General features: G+C 49.5%; 1 long non-coding RNA gene across 1 annotated transcript in view, besides 1 other annotated feature; it reads left to right on the top strand.

Annotated features, from left to right (window-relative positions):
• The window catches only part of TMEM72-AS1 (TMEM72 antisense RNA 1), a 148666-nt gene that overhangs the window by 90448 nt on the left and 39497 nt on the right, over window positions 1-18721 (top strand). The gene's annotated exons all lie outside the window — the stretch shown is intronic.
• Window positions 15234-15734: an enhancer, noted in NCBI's record as "H3K4me1 hESC enhancer chr10:45348956-45349456 (GRCh37/hg19 assembly coordinates)". NCBI's record gives its function as "activates a minimal SCP1, AML or CMV promoter by ChIP-STARR-seq in naive H9 embryonic stem cells {active_cell/tissue: H9 hESC(naive)}" and the evidence as "EXISTENCE:reporter gene assay evidence [ECO:0000049][PMID:30033119]".

Genomic DNA, 18721 nt, shown 5'->3' with positions numbered 1-18721 from the left:
GAAATCACCACCACAATCACTATAGTGGCCCTATCCGTCACCCCACACATTGCCTCCTGTCCCTTCTAGTCCTCCATTCTGCCCTCCCCATTGCGTCTCTGCACATGGGGAGCCTCTCCACAAAATATCTGCTTTCCATCAGTATAGCTTAGTCTGCTCGAATTTTATATAAATAGCATCTAACAAAAACCCTTTTTTTTGTCTGGCTGCTTTCAGTCAGCATAATGATTATGACTTTTTTCCATGTTGCTTGTATCGATGGTTCATTCCTCTTTACTGCTGAGTAGCATTCCACTGAATGAATCACCACATTAGCTTATCACAAATAGTTCCTCCTATATATGCTTATAGAAGATTCATTGTTTTGTTTTGAGTGAATTTTGGTAGGTGCTGCAAAATATGAATTTAATTCATTTTGATTCATATGGATATCAAATTGTTTCCATTTGATAGACTGGAATAGACTATCTTTCCCACGTTGGATTACCTTTGCACCTTTGTCAAATCTCAGTTGCTCTTATGTGTCTGGGCCATGTGTAGCTTTTCTTATTTAGGGACATTTGTCTTTCAGAATAACTTTGTCAGTTTCTACAAACCCCCCTACTCCCTGCTTTGGGGGCTTATATGGGGACTGATCATTTCTTTTTACTGCTGAGTGGCATTTCATTGAATGAATCGCCTCAGTAAGCTTCTCACAAATAGTTCTCTCTATATTTTCTTCTAGAAGTTTCATTTTTTTTTTTTTTTTGCATTTTGGGGGCAAAGTGACATATTAGTGGTATTAGATATTCAAGTGGAGATGCCAGGAGGTAGAGAGGAATCTAGGGTACAGGGAGGGGGTCTTTTGATCTTTATATCAATTTGAGGGCAAATTGACATCTTAGTGGTATTATATTTTCTGATCCATGAATGCAACGTATCTTCCATTTTTTGAGCTCTTTAAAATTTTTTTCTGAGCAATGTTTTATGGTTTTTAGTGTACAGTTCATTCATATCATTTGTTAAATGTATCTCTAAGTATTTCATATTTTTGATGCTATTTTAAATGATACTAGATTTAAATTTTAATTTCTGATTGTCATTGCTAGTGAAAATATAAAACAATTGGTTTTTGTATATTGATCCTCTATCCTGCAACCTTATTAAACTCACTTGTTAATTCTAATATCTTTTTGTGTAGGCCACGTTGAATTTTCAATATAGAAAATCCTGTTATCTATGAATAAAGACAGTTTTACTTCTCCCTTCTAATCTCAATGCCTTTTATTTCTTTCTCTTGCTGTATTGTATTTGCTAGAAAATGTTGAAAAATGTTGAAAAGAAGTTGTAAGAGTACATAGTTTTGTCTTGTTCTTCATCTTAGGGGAAAAGCATTAAGTCTTTTAGTATTAATGGTAATGTGGACAGAAGGTTTTGTAGAGGCCGTGTACCAGGTTGAGGAAGCTCCTTCTACTCCTAGTTTGTTGAGAGAGTTTATGTCCAGAATGCATGTTAGATTTTTGAAAATGCTTTTACTATGTCTATTGTGACACTTCTGTGGTTTCTCTTTTTTAATTTCAAAATATGCTGAATCACATTAATTGATTTTCAAATTATAAATCAACCTTGCATTTCTGGCATGTAACTCATTTGGTTATGATCTTTCATACTGTTGGATTTGATTTCATTTGCCGAAATTTTGTTTAAAGTGTATTTTGGTATAAAGTGTATATATAGACCCAGGTGCGGTGGCTCACACCTGTAGTCCTAGCACTTTGGGAGGCCAAGGTGGGCAGATCACTTGAGGTCAGGAGTTTGAGACCAGCCTGGCAACGTGGTGAAATCCTGTCTCTACTAAAAATACAAAAATTAGCTGGGTGTGGTGGCGTGCCTGTAATCCCAGCTACTCAGGAGGCTGAGGCAAGTGAATCGCTTGAACCTGGGAGGCAGAGGTTGCAGTGAGCCGAGATCATGCCACTGCATTCCAGCCTGGGGGACAAGAGCAAAACTCCGTCTCAAATAAAACAAAATAAAATAATATATATATATGTGTGTATATACACACACACACAAAATTTGCATTCATATTCATAGAGATAATAGTCTATAGTTTTCGTTCTTTGTAATGTCTTTGGTCATGGTACCAGAGTAAAACAATTTGAGAAGTGTTCTGTCTTTTACAATTTTCCAGGAGTGTGTATGGAATTGATGTTCATTCTTCCTAAGTTGGATAATAAAGTTATCTGGGCCTGGAGGTTTCTGTGTGGGAAGGTTTTAAAGTACAAGTTTAATGTAAAAAATAGACATAAGACTAATTCAGATTATCTGTTTACTCTTAAGTGCCGATAGTGTCTTTCAAGGAATTTGTCTATTATATTTAATTTGTCATATATATTGGTCTTAAGTTTATCATAATATGCTCTTAATTTTCTTTTTAACATCTGTAGAATCTATAGTGATAGATATCACAATTCCCATTTCTGATTTTAGTAATTTGAGTCTTTTCTCTTTTTTGGGGGGATCAACCTGACCAGGAGTTTATCAATTTTATTGATCTTCTAAAAACAAACAAAAAACTCCAGCTTTTAATTTCATTGATTTGTCCCTTTTGTTTTTCTCCTTTCTATTCCACTGATTTATGATATGATCTTCCTTTCTCTCTCTCTTTCTCTTCCTTTCCTGCTGTAATCTTTCTTTCTCTCTCTTTCTTTTCCTTTCGTGCTCTGATCTTTCTTTCTCTCTTTCTCTCTCCTTTTCCCTTTCCCTTTCCTTTCTTCTTTCTTTCTCTCTCTTTCTTTTCCTTTCGTGCTCTGATCTTTCTTTCTCTCTTTCTCTCTCCTTTTCCCTTTCCCTTTCCTTTCTTCTTTCTTTCTTGAGACAGAGTCTCTGTCACCCAGGCTGGAGTGCAGTGGTGCGATCTCTGCTCACTGCAACTTCCACGTCTCGGGCTTTAGCTACTCTCCTGCCTCAGCCTCCCGAGTAGCTGGGATTATAGGTGCACGCCCCCACGCCCAGCTAAATTTCGTATTTTTAGTAGAGACGGGGTTTCACCATGTTGGCCAGGGTGGTCTCAAACTTCTGACCTCAAATAGTCTGCCCATCTCGGCCTCCCAAAGTGCTGGGATTACAGGCTTGAGCCACTGCACCTGGCCTATGCTCTGAATTTTCTTGTTTCCTTTCTTCTTACTTTGGGTTTAATTCGCTCTTAAGGCGGAAGCTGAGATTTGAGATCCCTCTTCCTTTCTAACCTAGTGTAGTGCTATCATTTTCCCTCTAAGTATTGCTTTAGCCAAATCCCACCCATTTTGACAGGTTGTGTCCTGGCACTTCGTCCACTGATTGCATTTTCTCTTCATTATGGGTAATTTTTTTCTCCCTCACTTCATGCATGGTCATTTCTTACTGGGTGGTAGACATTGCCACTTTTTTCTTGTTGTGTGCTGGATGTCTTTGTTTTCCTGTGTGTATTTTCAGGCTTTGTTCTGGGGTACGGTTAAGTTACTTTGTAACAGTCTGATGCTTTCCGGTCCTGCCTTTGACGTTTCTCAGATGGGGATAGAGCTGCGTTTAGTAATAACTGCTCCCACCCCTGAAGCAGGGCTGTCCCGTGCCTCCTGAGTGGTGAGCCTGCAGTCTGGCTGATGGGGGAGGCGCTGTTCCCGCCCTGTGCAAACACAGGCGGATCTTCCCTCCAGCCCCACGGGGATCTTTCTGGGCCTCTGGCAGCTTCCTCGCCTGCACGTGCTGAGCCGCCCTGCTGCACCCTGGCCGCAGCCTTTGTGGATCACTGGAGTTGTGTCTGTGCAGCCCCCTCTTCCTCCAGGGACGCCGTGCCTGCCCTGAGGACTCGGCTTAGTCCCTCAACTCGTGAGGGTGAGCTCATGGGGTCAAGCCCTGTCCGGGTTCCCGCACCTCCTGTGCTGTGGCCCGGAAACTGTCTGGGTAGTAGGATCACTGTCCTCTGCATCTGGTGTGCTGGGTTTTGAAAACGGTTGTTTCTATAGTTTTGTTGGTTTCCTCCTGCTTCTTTCAGGTGGGAGGATAACTCTGGTCCCGGTTATCCATTTTGGCCATTCAACCTCATGGCAATCTAACAGGTAGCGGCTGTTCTTCCCCCCACGTGACACAGGAGAAATCTTCCGCAGGCTGTTTTCAGTGACTTCCCAGGGCAGCCCTCTGGGAGGCGGCGGTGTCGGATGGAGTCGGCTTCGCTCAGAGCGCTCCGGTTCTGGGCTCCCGCGCGGCGTCCGCCAGGGGGCAGCAGAGGCCCGGGATAGTTTGCACAACGCCCGGCTTTGCACTCGTGGCTTCGTTCTCGGGATCCGTGTTTTCGCTCCCATCCTTTCACTGCTTTTGTCTCCACTCCTGGTGACTGCTTAGCTCTAGGCTTGGTTGCCGCACAACTTTGCGTCTTGGACGCAGGGCCGAGACGCGTCTGGATGCTTTGTGACGAGTCAGCCAAGAGCAGCAGTCACGGGGCTCCTGAGATCCGGTATGTTTGCTCCGGACTCGCCTCCTCCGTCTTGGCTCCGCCCGCCCCTTAGTTTGGCTTTGTTCTCAAGCTGGTGTCCCTCGTGGTTCCAACCTCACACATCACACCCTCCGGAACGAGAGAGAGACTCTTTCCAAAGTCATCAAGGAGGAATACTGGCTTCGCTGGGTGGACCCACCTTGGGACACACGCCGTATCCTCCCCCCAAACCCAAGAGCGGCTGATTGCTGCAGCAAGGCTTGGTTTGGGCTGGGATCCCTGATCATTCTTGAATCAATGTTGTTTGCGCTAAGGAGATGAGATTCTGCTAATTAGCCCAAACTAGTGTGACTTACCCCTGCAGCTGGGGTGGGGGCCAAACCCCTCAAATCACACCCACTCCACATTAGGGAAGGAGTGGAATGCTAGTGAGCCTTCCCACAGTGTTCAGGACGTTGTCAAAGACAGAAGCGCCCAGAGGCCAGCGAGTGTCAGGGCAGAACGCTCAGGCCATGCGCGCTGACGAGCACTCGGTGTGCGACCAGGTGGCCAAACGCTCACTGCACAGGCTCCGCCCTTTGAAGAGAGGCAGCCCGTGGGTGCGCAGGCTTGGCAAGCTCTGCTTTGCGAAGGAAGGATGGCGGGAGCTGGATCCGACACATTTGTAGACAGCCTAGCTCATCTGCTCTCTTAAAATGAATCAATCATCCACCAGGCGTTGTGTGAGGACTGCATATGTGCCAGCAGGACTTCAAAAAATGTCCTGTTTACTAGGGAGAGAAACAAGAAAACCAATAAATGCAGTATAGCATCAGACATTCTGAGAGAAAGAAATGTATATGGAACTGAGGTTGCTGAAAGGGAGACCACACTTTCCCTAGCCCGGGGAGGCTAAGAAATGCAGTCAAGAGGAGGATGTTCCCAGAACGTGAGGCACAGGGAGGAGAATGAAGTGGGTGTGGGAAAGGGGCGTTCCCGCGTCCTAGGGAAATAGGTGCAAAGACACAGGCAAGTTAGAAAGCCTGTCACTTTGGGGGCAGCCTTTCTTTCCTTTTTAAGCAACTCAGGATTTTTACGTTGGTTGAAGTTACTTGATGATTTCAAATCAGTGCTGACGTTATGCTTAAAAGAAATAAAAGGTCAAAGAAAGAGTATGGTAGGAGTAATTCAGGTGGTTACTTTGAACAGTTTCTATAGACAAGAACTCCGCAGCCACTTTGACGCACACCGCAAGCCCCAGCTACGCTCAGGTGCAGGCAGCGCAGAGTCCTCCGCCAGGGGAGCCACCTGGTGGGGGCCAACCGCAAACCGTGTGTGGTGTGGAAAAGCTCCAATTCCTTTGCTCTCCAGCCTAACTCATACTCACTGGATAGGGTATAAAAAGGTCTGTAAAAGACCTTCACAAACTAAAATCTGGTTATAGCTGCAATCTGGCTTGGCAATTCATGGATCGCTGGCTCCCCGTCCCTCTGCACTCACAATGACTGCAGGGTGGGACAGTTTCTCTGCTTTTTGAAAAAGGAAATCTGCTTTCCTAGATCTTGATGGAATATACAAAAATGGTTTAGTGCCATAAGCTCCTTCTCTAAGCAGGCAGCTCAGGGAGCTGATGCCAATTGGTTACTCTTGTAGAAATTTCGTGAACTACAGTAAACCATTCGCTAAGCCTTTCTGACATCTGGAGCAGCCTCCTTCCTGCCACTGCCTTTTCTCTTGGCAGGAACACAGACCCTAGAGGGACAAAGGGTGGCAGAAGTCACCAGAAGCTGTAACATACTGCAGCTGCACGGAGACCTGTGCCTGTTCATACTCCTCAACTCTCGGCTCCTGGTGGGCTTGTCTTTGTACCCCATGGAGCCCACCCAGCTTTCAGCCAGTGCCAATGTGCATTTTAAATCAAACTTTAATGGATTTAAGATGCATATATTCTCTTTCTCTATACTCATGGCATCAGGATCTCAAAGACTACTCAATAATTTTTCATTTACTCATTCATTTATGCAAAAAGTATTTTTAGACCCTGTGCTGGGTACAATAGTGTACAAAGCCAGATAGAATTGCTGTGTTCATAGGGCTTGGCATCAAGCAGGAAGATCAATACACAGGGTGCAAGGGACATGAAGCCCGGTCACAAAAGCCTTCCTGGAGAAATGGGCGCCCAGCTTGAAGGCAGGAAGGCAGGGCCTTGGCCAGAGGCAGGGGGAGTCTGGAGTGAGTAGAGATCTGCAGGGGTTGTGTGTGGAGGAGCCAGGCCAGCCTTGAGAGCCTGTGGTGCTCTTGAGCCTGTCAGCTGTAGCTGGGGCTGGGAGGCTTTGGTCAGGGTTCGTGGGAAAGCAGAAGTGCTCCAGCTATTTCAAGTAGAGAGAGATTTAATATGGAGAGCCAGGGCCTTCTCAACCATGGGAGGGAGTTGGGGAGCAGAGATCAGGAAGACTGCCTCACGACATCGAGAACAGAAATGGAAAGGAAGTCATCACCGGCAACCCCAGCAGCCTGCAGTGCCCAAGCAGGTTGCTCTCAGGGGAACACCTGGAACTCCGAGAGCTGTGTGCTCCTGGAGGCCAGCCACCTGCAGTGCCCGTGGGGGCTTCTTAGAGGAAGCCCTGGGAGGCCAGAGAGAGAGTGCTGCTGATGGCTGTGGCTGCAGGACGGAGAAAGACACTCCCTCTGACACCCTAGAATGTGAGCTACGCACGGGCTGAATCTAATCTGGCCTCCGGCAGGGACAGTGATTCTGTGGCTTCAGACATGTCCCTGAGAAGCAGAGGATGGTGTAGCAGGCACCAGAAAATGCTGATGATGACGATGATCCAGCAAAATAGTTGGTGGAGAAGGAGCTGGGCTCCTGTCTTGCCTCTGCCACTTACTGGCTGTGTGCCTGTTTCTAGGCCTCAGTTTCCTCCTCTGTAAAGTGGGGATGACAGTACTACCTGCTTCATGCAGATTATGAAACATTAGACAAGATAATGAGTAAAGTTTTTAGCATACTACTTTGCATGTAGGTTTTGGTGGTTTCTGGTTATTATTCATAGTGATTTTTTCAGTAATTATATATTGAAAAGAAAGCTGAAAACCATTAAAGGATGTTAAAAACACCATGGAAATGTGCTTATCTTTTTAAAAAGTTGCAGTAGCTTTGGGAAGTCACCAGGAATGGCAGCCACGTGGCTCCAAACTGACTGCTGTGTGGCAGGGACCGCCAGGGTGGGGCTGGGTCCAGCTCAGAGTCATCCTGCTGAGCTTTCAGCCCCCAGATCCTTATCAAGTCATTGTGAATCTCAGCGCATTCCAATGGGCCATGTTCATGATGCCTGTGGAGGGGTGGGGTGGTTCCCTCCACTTTGGCCCAAGGAGAGTTTGCCTTTCCCAGGACTCTGGCCAGTAGAGTTCAAGTGGTGTAATTTTCTTCATCTCTTAACTGTTTCCAGGAGTTTGCAGAGCCTTCTCCTTCCTGGCTTCCTTCTCTGCCTTGGGGGTGCCTGTGGCCACAGGAGCCCTGAGCAGGGTTTGCACTCCCAGTCTGGGGATGAACAGGAGGACCTGTCTGATGGGAGCAGCTGCCAAGCAAGGGTGGGGATGGGAGAGAACCCCCAAACAGAGCAGGCGTGGCGTCCGGGTGGGCCAGATGAGCAGGGGTCCAAGGTCAGGGTTCACAGGCTCAACAAGAAGCTTCCTCTTGGAAACCTAAAAAAGGAATCAGGACCGAGGGACATAACCACAGAGACACCAAAGGCCCAGACAACAGGCTCAGGCGGGAGCGTAGCTACTTGTGGTCATAAAGCTCTGAATGCTGCTTTAGTCTCCAGGCCCCAGGGCCTGAGCCTTCAGGACCAAGATCTGGAGCTCCTGCCCTGCTATACCAAAGGTGCTGCTGTAAACACTGTTCTGGTTCTAACTGTTTAATCCCACGCCAACTCTAGGAGGCAGGTGCTATTTAATATCATCTCCAGTTACCAAGGAAGAAACTGAGATTCAGAAAGAGAAAGGCACCTGCCCAAGGTCGCACAGCTTGTGAGCTACAAGGCTGGGACCTGGGCAGCCTGGCTCTGGGGGAAGCGTCAGGCACCAGGGTCCCTGCAGGGGCCTCTGTGCACTTTCTCATTCACATGGCCTGAAGCTCATCCTGAGGTCAGCTGGGAGACTGTGCAGCCCTCTTCAAAGGCCCATCTACAGAATTTGTGAGTCTTTGAACCATTTATTGATTGTAGAAGACAATCAGCCCAGAGAGACGTGAGATGGTTCTGTAGGAAACACTATGATAGGACAGTCAGCAGGAGCCTAGTACAGCACTGAGTATGTGTGTGTGTGTGTGTGTGTGTGTGTGTTTGTGTGTACACTCAGAAAAAAGCAAGTTCCTACTGTGGCAAAGAATAGAGGGTAAAAATGCAAACATGCGAGTACCCCTCTGACACAATGAGTTCTTTCTATCATTCATTTTTTTCTTTACCATTTTAGTGGAGGCAACATTGCCCCAAGGGAATAAACGGACATTAAATCTCTGTGTTTTGGGATTTTCCTGGCATTTTTAAATCAGGAAAGTACTATTTACAGCTACATGCTCACACACACACACACACCCTGCACACACACACACACACATACACACACACACACGGGGAGGGTCACAGCAGACAATGGCACCTGGCCCAGCGGGGTCCCCTGGATGGGAAGGCAAGTGCAGTGTGTCAATCACTTAGAGGGGCAAAGGCGGGCTAGAGGGAAAGCCCCCAATTCCTGAAGATGGTGGGGCTGGACAGGAGAGACCTTCATCCCTGTCACTTTCCTCTAAGCTCCATACCAAGTGGAAGTCACGAAGGTTAGGGTCTTGTTGCTCACCCATAAAACGAAGTATGGTGATGACAGTGATGGGACTAAGTCACACTCATGTTAAGTTGTCCAGTACCTGCGACACAGACACTGCAAGAACAGTCCCTCTAGGTGTTAGAGACAGCAGCCTCTGTCCCAAGGCATCTGTGAGAGTTGGAAGTGGTGCTTGGTAGATGGCATTGTGTGGATGGGTACTGGGGGGAGTCACATCTGCGGGTTGGTCCCTGTGCAGCACACAGAGAACGATGTCTGCGTGGACCTCACTTGATGGCTGTGACAGCCTCAGCTCACTTGGCTTCCCACACAGGAGACCTGCAAGGCCACTCACAAAAGGCGATTGATTTAGTGGCTCAGGGCGCTGGGATGGAAGGGCCTGGGGAGTCCTTCAGTGACGACCCTTCTCTCTGCGTGGCCTCAGGCCCCAGCCTCCCCACTTCTCCCAGTTCTAGCAACTGACACTCATCTCTTCTCCCCAACCCTCTTTTCTCTTTCTAATCTGTGAAAGAAAAAGTAGTCCCCACTTCCCTGGGGCTTTACCTTTAGAATTCCAAATTGTTTTACCACAACTTGGCTCTGGTAAATTCCAAGTTTTGACTTTTCTCTCTGTTGTTTAATATTTGAATTTCAAGACCCAGCTTGGAAGTTGAAGAACTGAATATTGAGGATTTTATTCCCTTGTGTTCCTGCTACATAACTCCTGATTCTCCTTCTTGCAGAACAGGCTAGAGGGTGAGTCACTGTCTCAGTCAGCTTGAGTTGCTGTAACAAATACACCCTAGGCTGGGAAGCTTAAACAGCAGACATTTACTTCTCAGAGTTCTGGAGCTGGGAAGTCCAGGATCAAGGCACTGGGAGATGTGGTATGTAGGGGGCCCTTTTCAGGTTTGGGATGGCACCTTGCTGTGGTCTCACATAAGGGAGAGCAGGGAGGTAGGGAGCAAGCTAGCTCAGGTCTCTCTCTCTCTTTTTTTTTTTTTTTTTTTTTTTTGAGACAAGAATCTTGCTCTGTCACCCAGGCTGGAATGCAGTGGTGTGATCTTGGTTCACTGCAACCTCTGCCTCCTGGGTTCAAGTGATTCTTCTGCTTCAGCCTCCCGACTAGCTGGGACTACAGGCTTGTGCCACCACGCCCGGCTAATTTTTGTATATTTAGTAGAGATGTGGTTTCACCATGTTAGCCAGGATGGTCTTGATCTCCTGACCTCCTGATCCACCTGCCTTGGCCCCACAAAGTGCTGGGATTACAGGCGTGAGCCACCACACCTGGCCCTCAGGTCTCTTATAGGAGCACTAATCCCATCATGAGAGCTCCAGGCACATGACCTCATCACCTCCTGGAGTCCTCACCTCCAAATACCATCACATCGTGGTTAGGCTTCAACATGCCTACTCCAGGAGGATGCAAACATTCAGCCCATAGCAGTCATGTACCTGAGGTTGTGATGAAATAAATACACAAAATAACATTTCTATCTATCACCATCCTCCTCCTTTTTGACTGTTAGCTGGGCTGGCCAGCACCTCGAGGATGGTGGGTTTGCTGGCATCTTCCGGCAGACAATGGGGGCCCTGATGATGGGCTAAGAGACCCAGTGGCCCTCACTCTGTCTCTTAAGCCCTTGACCCTGTGGCCTTTAGTGAAGCTCAGTGCAGTTATCAGGACCCCATGACTCATTTGCTCTCCAATTCTTCCTAAGGATGTTTACAGACCAACTTACACCAGCAATAGCTTTTAAAAACCCTCATGAAGAATTCCCACAGTCTACCCATAACCTCTGCCGCAGAGTTCGTAATGTCCCAGACCCCCGTCCTCAGCCATGCAATCACTAGCGTCTTTATATGTAAAGAGAAGATAGTAAAACCTTGCCCTGCTGAATTCATGGGATTCTTTTAAGAGCCCAGCAGTGGTAGATGGGAAGTTCTTTGTAAACGGAACCATGCTGGGACCACTTGCCCTTTTATTCAGGGTCCTGACTTTTCCTTCCTGGCCCTGCGGTCCCCCTGCAGTGCACTCTCCTGACCCTAGGTGGCAGCAGCACCTCGGCTCCCCTCAAGGGAGGCCTGCTGCGGATGGAGGCTAAGGTCAGGATGCAGCCTAATTAGCTGAACAGTTTGCAGCCCTGCTCAGCAAAGAAACCCCTGGGGTGCGGGAAGAGAGTGACTCACATTCTTGTTTCCTTGATAAAGGAGAATGTTTTGAGAGTCATTCTAGCGTTGCAGTCTGGGGTCACACCATCCAGACACTTGGCTTCTCTTCCTTCCCCAGCATCCCTCAAGACCTTTTTTTTTTTTTTTAAATCCTCACTCCCCCCAACCCCCCTCAAATGCACCAATAGGCTCAGTCAGAACAAGGGCTCAAGAGTCTGCCCGAATAAAGACTCTTCTGTGTCCACAGGCTCAATGTGAGCATCCCTGTCCACACCCGGGCCTGGCCAGACCCAAGGGCTTTCTTACAAGATGTGTGAAACGTCAGCATTGAAAGGGCTGGGCAGAGCATCTAGTCTAATGGGAATTTGACAGGGGTAAACTGTGCCTGAGAACCCAAAAGAGGCAGGGAGGGAATGAGCATTTCCTGATCACCTGCAGCGTGCAAGCCCTGTGTGAGGTGTCGGTATACCTGCTCACTCTTCTAGAACAGCCGTAGGATGGGGTAGGTGAGGGAGGTGGGTTTCAAATGGAAAAAATGGCTGCACAAGAGAACACAAGTAGCTTCAAGATGAGAGTAGCTCAGTTCATTCATGGATTTATTTTTCCTGCAAATGTTCACCCTGGTGTGTTTCAGTGCCCAGGCCTGGGGACATCCCAGCTGACCCCTGCAGCTGGGGGCTCTAGTCAGGCCCACTGTCATGCCTCTGGTGGCTCAAGGGTGCACCTGGTCCCGTAATGCCTCCCAGGTCGGCCACACCTCTCAGAAGATACCATTCCTCACCTTCCTCGTGTGCTGGTTCCTCTCCTTCTGACTTTGGTTCTTCAGCCTCAGCTTATCTCTTCCTCCCCAGAGCTGGTGCTGACTTGAGCCCCCATGGCCTTGCCTTGGAAAATATGACAATGACTGTAAATGTTTGGCCGCAGAACTGTTCTTTCACGGGGCCACAAAAGAACGTGTGGCCTCCTGATAATGCCCACGGCTGGTGCAGGCTTGGGGAAGGAGGCCTCTTGCAGAACCAACCCTATAGATGCTGTAGCACCACTGACCCCTTGCACATACATATGCTGCTGACTAGCTCTTGGCCTGAGAAACTTCATTCATTAACATCTTTCCCAGGGCACCTGTGTCCCCTTGGAATCTGGTTTATCTCCAGACAGAAAAACACATGGTTCCTGTTTTCCTCAGGCAGCTCCTGGTTCCATACTGGTCATTGCATGGAAGGTTGAACAGGAGGATTGCCTAATTCTGTGCATCTGAATGAGAGCACAGGCCCATCCAGGAGGTCTGCCGCAAATGCAAAGTGCTTGTCACATTACAGGCAATCAGTGAAAGGAAGCTGCCTCATGGTGTCAGCATGGGTTGCATGTCTTATAAATATACATTGGATCTCTCGCAACAAAGGCTCTGTAGAGTTTGAAGGGACGTGGGAGGGATCTAGTTTTGACTTCTGATGGTGGAACATCGGGCATCAACGTGACAAGGCACTTTGGGCAAGGGGGCTTGTTCTCTTCATCTCTGTGAGAGATAATTGCCATCTTTGGTGTTCATCATTCATTTGTCCACTTAATTCTGCTGGCTGAACCTGGAATGACACCACACGCTGGAGACAGCTTGATGAACAGAACAAGACATGGCTCCCAACCTTGCCCTTTGTTGTCTGATGGAGAGCAGGGAAGCAAAGAAGGGAATAGGAGGCTGAGAGGTGAGGCTGGGCCATGTAAGGCCTTCTGGGCTATGTGAAGGATTTGCATCTTTAGCTCAAAAGCAATGTGAAGTGTTTGAAGGGATTTTAGGAGGCGAGTAATACAATCAGGTTTGCATTTCACTATTAAGTAGATGAGTTGGATGGAGGCTTCCAGATCTGGAGGCCTGGAGAATATTGGTCCAGGCAAGGATGGTGGCACACAGGAATAAGGCAGTGAGGGTGGAGATGGAAAGAGTGAACAGATTTGAGAGATGTTTAAGAAGCTAAAAGTGTAACCTGCTCCCGCCAGAGTATCTGTTCAACCAATGGCAAAATCAACTCAATGGATTACATACTGGTCCTGGGATCCTGTGTTTCAACCTCCTTGTTGTACAAGAGATAGTTTGTAGGTCTGAGGGCAAAGGAACTTCTGGGGGCCCACAGCAAGTGAGATGCAGAGCCAGGGCCGAGACTGGTGTAAACGCATGGGAACCACACTGGGGACTCACAACAAAGCCCAGTGCTGGATGAGGTCCTCTCTAGGCCTCTCCCTAGGGATACCTGGGTCCTCTCCTTTCCTCTCCCTGGAGCAAGCCCCATTACCCCATCAGGGAGAGGAAAGGATAGGATCCAGGTCTCCAGCCTCCAGAGACATCTGCTTACCAGGGGACCCGGGGAGTGAGGAAGAGTATAGGAGCAAGCATGGAGTGGGGCCTCTGCTCAGGCCCTGTCCCTTCTTTCATGGCGCCTACAGCACATCTTTCAGCAAAGGATGCGACAGGCAGCAGGGTGGGGAATCTGAGAACAACCAGGCATTTGATGCCTCTGGGGGCAGGGCAGATAATGAGATGCAGGCATGAGCCCAGGGGGCTGTTTGCGGTCCAGTCTGCCCTCCTTCTTGGCACTGAGGCCAGACTTAAAGGTCAGGAGGACGTCAGACCCTCTCATCTGGGGCTCTCCTGGCAGCCCCTCCCCTCTGCACTCCTCTTCCAGCCCCTGCACGCTTCTGCCGCACCAGCTTCAATGCCTCTATTGTGGCGGCAGCTGCAGCGCTGGGGGCTCTGGCCCTCTCTCCCTCTTCTCCCCTCCTGCAGGCCCCCATGGGTGGGGAGCTGAGCAGCTCCTTCCTATTTTCTGTACCCTCAGGCCCAGAACTCCTGGTTTCTGGTCACCCTCCTCATTCTGGGCAGGTGGCTGCTGGTGACCCGGCTCCAGCTCCCTCTCCCGCCTTTTCTGGGTGGATGCCCTGAGTGACACAGGAAAGTTTCCCAAAGCAGGTGGACTCCTGGGGCCACCGGGACCTGCTCTCTCCCTCCACAGGAGATTCCTGTCTGTAGATCTTGGCTTTCCTGCAGGATCCACACTGGAGGGAGGGAAGGGGTAGACTGGGGAAGAGTTCTGTGCTTTCAGCTGTAGCATTTAGATTCAAGGAGAGAAATGGAGAGAGAAAGAGAGAGAGAGAGATTGCACAAAAGCATTTTAAAAGAAACCACCTTTATTCTCTTACTCTCCAGGTGGGTACACCAAGCCTGATAAAATCCAACTTTGGAGTCATATGATTTAACTGGAGAAGTCTTTCACTTTGGTATGAGACTTAAACAAGTGGTCTCTCTTTTCTGACTTTGACTTCCTTATCTGTTAGCAGGGTCTCATGCCTCTCCCAGCTCTGTGGGTTGCTGTGAGTCCCAGGACACCTAGAAGTAAACTCAGGAATGAATGACTTGAGCCACCTCGGTGCTCTGTCCAGGCTGCCCCTCCCCACCCCTGCCTGCTATCACAGTGCCATTAAGTTTAAGTGACAAAGCAAGGATTTAAATTAAAAAGGCAAAAATTTCACGGAGAGTTGGGCATTTGAGCTGCGCAGAGAGCTTACCTGAAGTGCTGCAGCCCTGGAAGCACAGCCAGCTGGCTGCCCAGATGTACTGAGCCAGTGCAAAGCTTGACATAATGGAAAGACGGTTGCTCTCTGTCCCCTGGTCTGAGCTGACAGCAAACCACAGAGAGGCAGTGGGCATGCAGAGGAGGTGGGAGTCCTGATGTTAGGGACCTGAGCAGCAGGCAGCAGTGCACAGCAGAGCAAAACTGTGTTCCTTCACGGGGCTTCCGCTGGCCCTGGGGAAGAGCTCGTCCAAAGACCCAGAGTGGGCAGCAAGCCTTAAATTGGCCAAGTCCAGCCCCAGGACACCCTGTCCCACCACCCCCATGAGGCCAGCCCTCAACACTTGGTGACTGTGGACTTTCTTAGGGTGCCGTGGGAAGCTGCCACCTTAACTTGATGCCAGCTCCTGGGGAGAACTGGGCGGTGCCCTCACTGCCTTTGGAGGGGAGAGTCTAGTGCTCAGGGGCACACTGATGCCAGGGGCCCTCCTGGAGCCATGAGGAGAGGAGTCAGAGAGCAGGTCCAATGCTATGAATCAGAAACCCCAGCTGAGGAAGGGGCTGGGGAAAGCATTAGACAGCCTCTTGCCAGCCCATGCTGTCCTCCAGCTGGAGTCTTCAGAAACCCTTTGTGCTGCCAGAGGAGGCATCTCCAGGGAACCCCCAACTCCTCTTCACTCTTTACAAGCTGCTTTGAAAAGATCAGGTGGCAGAGGCCATGCATGGAGTGTGGGAATGGCTGGGGCAGGCTGTCCAGCTCCCTGGGCCCCTCTGGTCCCCACCTAACCCCACCCCCTGGCTCTGGGTGAGGTGCTGACATGAGGTACAAAGCTGGGAAAATGGGGCTGGATGTGTGCTTGCTACAGTGTGTGTGGACACTAGAGGCACCATGAGCTGATGTGCCAGGCTTTGGCAACTGCTGTGCAGGAGAGGGCACCGTGTGCACAGGGAGTGAAGGTGGGGACAGAGAAGGTCTGTGAGCCTAGGCTGAATGGGCCTGGCAAGGAAGCAGAGGCTGCCAAAGAAATGCATAGTGCTGGTTCAGGATCACAAGGAAGGCCTGAAGACCATAAAAAATTCACCTCCAGGTCCACAGATGTTGAGAATTTCAGCAGAGCAGTTGCTTTTCTTTGGCTTAAGGTACTACCTCTATGGTAGATCCTGCCCAAGGCCATTCCCTCCCCCATCTTGTTAGCTGATATATATATATATATATGCTGGGCCCCTCCAAGGCTGAAGGCTCAAGGGCTAACCCCAGCCTAATAATCATGGTCATTCAGTTTTTGTGGCTAGTGATTGCTTTACTAAGGGGCAGGTACATTAACTTGGTTATTGAGGCTTGATGGGATGTTTACCTGGAATGTTCTCAAAAGGGTGTGGGTGAGAACTCCCATTTCTGCTTTGGCTGAATCTCTTCATGTCTGCCTGTGATGCCTGGGACTGTGGCAACTGTTTTATAATCATGAAGCAACAAGTTTAAGGATGAAGTCAATAGGCTGGGAGGATTAATGCAAAGAAGTGGAACGAACTTGAATTGTTCAAGACATCTTTGAGCCAACCTCATAGCCACCATAGCTCGGATTTCTTATTCTGTAAACTAATCAATGTCCATGTGGTGTAAGCCATTGTGGTTGCGTTTTCGCTTTATGCTGCTGAAAGCACCCATGCAGGTATAGCCTCTCTTTAAGTGTGTCTCAGATCATCTCGGTGCTTGGCTGAGATCCCCTCAGATCTCTCCTTATTGTTTCCCTCCCACTCTCACTTGAGGGCAGTGCTGGCACTGGGGCCTGGGCTGGTCCTTGCAGGATTCCTGGGTTATAGGAGCTGCTTTACCTGCAAGGAGCAGAAGTGCCTGGGGGATTTTGCACCCCCTTCCCTGTCTGTGCCTGTGGGAGACAGGGCCCTTGGTCCAAGGCCACAACCCAGCTGTCTTCCTCCTCTCCTCACCCAGGCCCCTACTTGTCTTTGGGAAGCACATCTTTAGTGATTCAGTTGTGTGTGGGTCCTCATCTCAGAGTCTGCTTCTGGGGAGCCCAACTAGAGACAAGGTGCAGCTCTCCTGGGCGGAGTCAGCCTCCCCCACGCTGGCGGTCACGGCAGGAGTGGGATGCGAGGCTGGGCCCAGGACATGCTTCCTAGCCTTCCCTGTACTCCGGCCCTGCTGGTGTGCCTGGGGCTCAGGGCTGCTCAGAGGCACTGCCTCACCCTCCTGTGCCTGCTTTTCATGTGTGCCATCCTGGGCCCATCCTGGGCCCGGCTGCATTCTCCCTGCCCTGGGTGGCCCCTTCTCCAGGCCCCTACCATCCACCTTGGCCCACTGTGCGGGGGCATCATGACAGCATTGGTATGGGGGGCATTGTGTGCCCCCCAAATTCCTATGTTGAAGCCTTAATCCCTAACACCTCAGAATGTGGCTGTATTTGGAGATGAGATCTTTAAGAGGTTAATTAAGCTAAAATGAGGCCATTAGGGTGGGCCTTAATTCAACAGGACTCATGGCCTTGTAAGAAGAGGAGATAAGGACACAGACATGCACACAGGAAAACCATTGAAGACACAGGGAGAAGATGGCATCTGCAAGCCAAGTAGCGAGGCCTCGGTCGAAGCCAGCCCTGCCGACACCCTGATCTCAGACTTCCAGCCTACAGACTGGGAGCAGATGCAATTCTGTTGCTTAGGCCGCCCAGTCCGTGGTACTTTGTTATGGCAGCCCCAGCCCACTGCGGCAGACAAGAATCCTCTCTTCCCATCCGGGGGCAGTGCGCTCTTCCCTGATTGAATTATGTCATTCGGTCTCTCACTACCTTATCTTGCTTAGAACTGATTTGCCTAGATTAGCAACCTCCTCTCCTCTCCACTTCTTGTTTTTCAACCCTTCCAATCTTCTAGATTCTGCAGGGAATGTGCCCCATGCCCCTTCCTCCAGAAAGTCTTCCTGAAGCCTCCTAAGACGTGTTCTTTCCCTCTGTTGGGCTCAACAGCATTTGTGTGTGGCCTTCACTTACAGCCTGATTATGTTGATAGAGCCCTGCACGGAAAAGGACTGTGGGTCTGTCTTACTTTATCAAACGGGAGCTTCCCATGGGTCTCTGAGCCTCCTGTCACCCAGAGATTATGAAGAACTTATTCTGTGCTAGACCTGAAATCCCACCACAGAGTGGGAGACAGATTCAGAAGTTTCATGAAGTAAGGGTGATGGGGAGGTGCACTTAGGGTGAGAAGGAGCTGGGGTGGGTGGTGGGTGCTCGCAGGGGTGTCCAGAAGAGGGTGCCTGTGCCTCGCTCTAAGTTGTTCTGACCTGGAGGTGCATGGATGGTGCAGCAGGACAGAGAGGGTGGGTGCTGGAAAGGTGGTGGGATCAGATCTGGGGATCGTCTTTTCAGGGGAAGAGCATCGGGCCTGTGGGAGAACAGTGGGTCCAGACCAGGGCTAACTGAGGAAGCTCAACAACTTCTCACTGAGCTCCTGAGGCTCCACCTTCGGGCCTGCCTCTCCTCCCACCTCTGTGCCTTCCTGTCATTTTCCTGCCCCACCTGGGCAGCATGCCCTCAGCTCCCATTGCACAATGTGTTCAGATTTTTTTTCCTTTGGTAGGAACTGCAGGGGAAGGGTCTCATTTCCTCGAGGCATTCCAGAGTCACCTGGGCTCCCGGAAATTGCTGAGCACGTTTTTACTGACTGATTGGATCTTGTTGGATGCCAGGGCTGCCATCCAAGATGCACAATGAAGCAC

This window comes from Homo sapiens, chromosome 10 (genome assembly GCF_000001405.40).
Source record: "Homo sapiens chromosome 10, GRCh38.p14 Primary Assembly".
Lineage (NCBI taxonomy): Eukaryota > Metazoa > Chordata > Mammalia > Primates > Hominidae > Homo > Homo sapiens.
The sequence above is the reverse complement of the archived record's forward strand: the minus strand, read 5'-3'. Positions and strand labels throughout refer to the sequence as shown.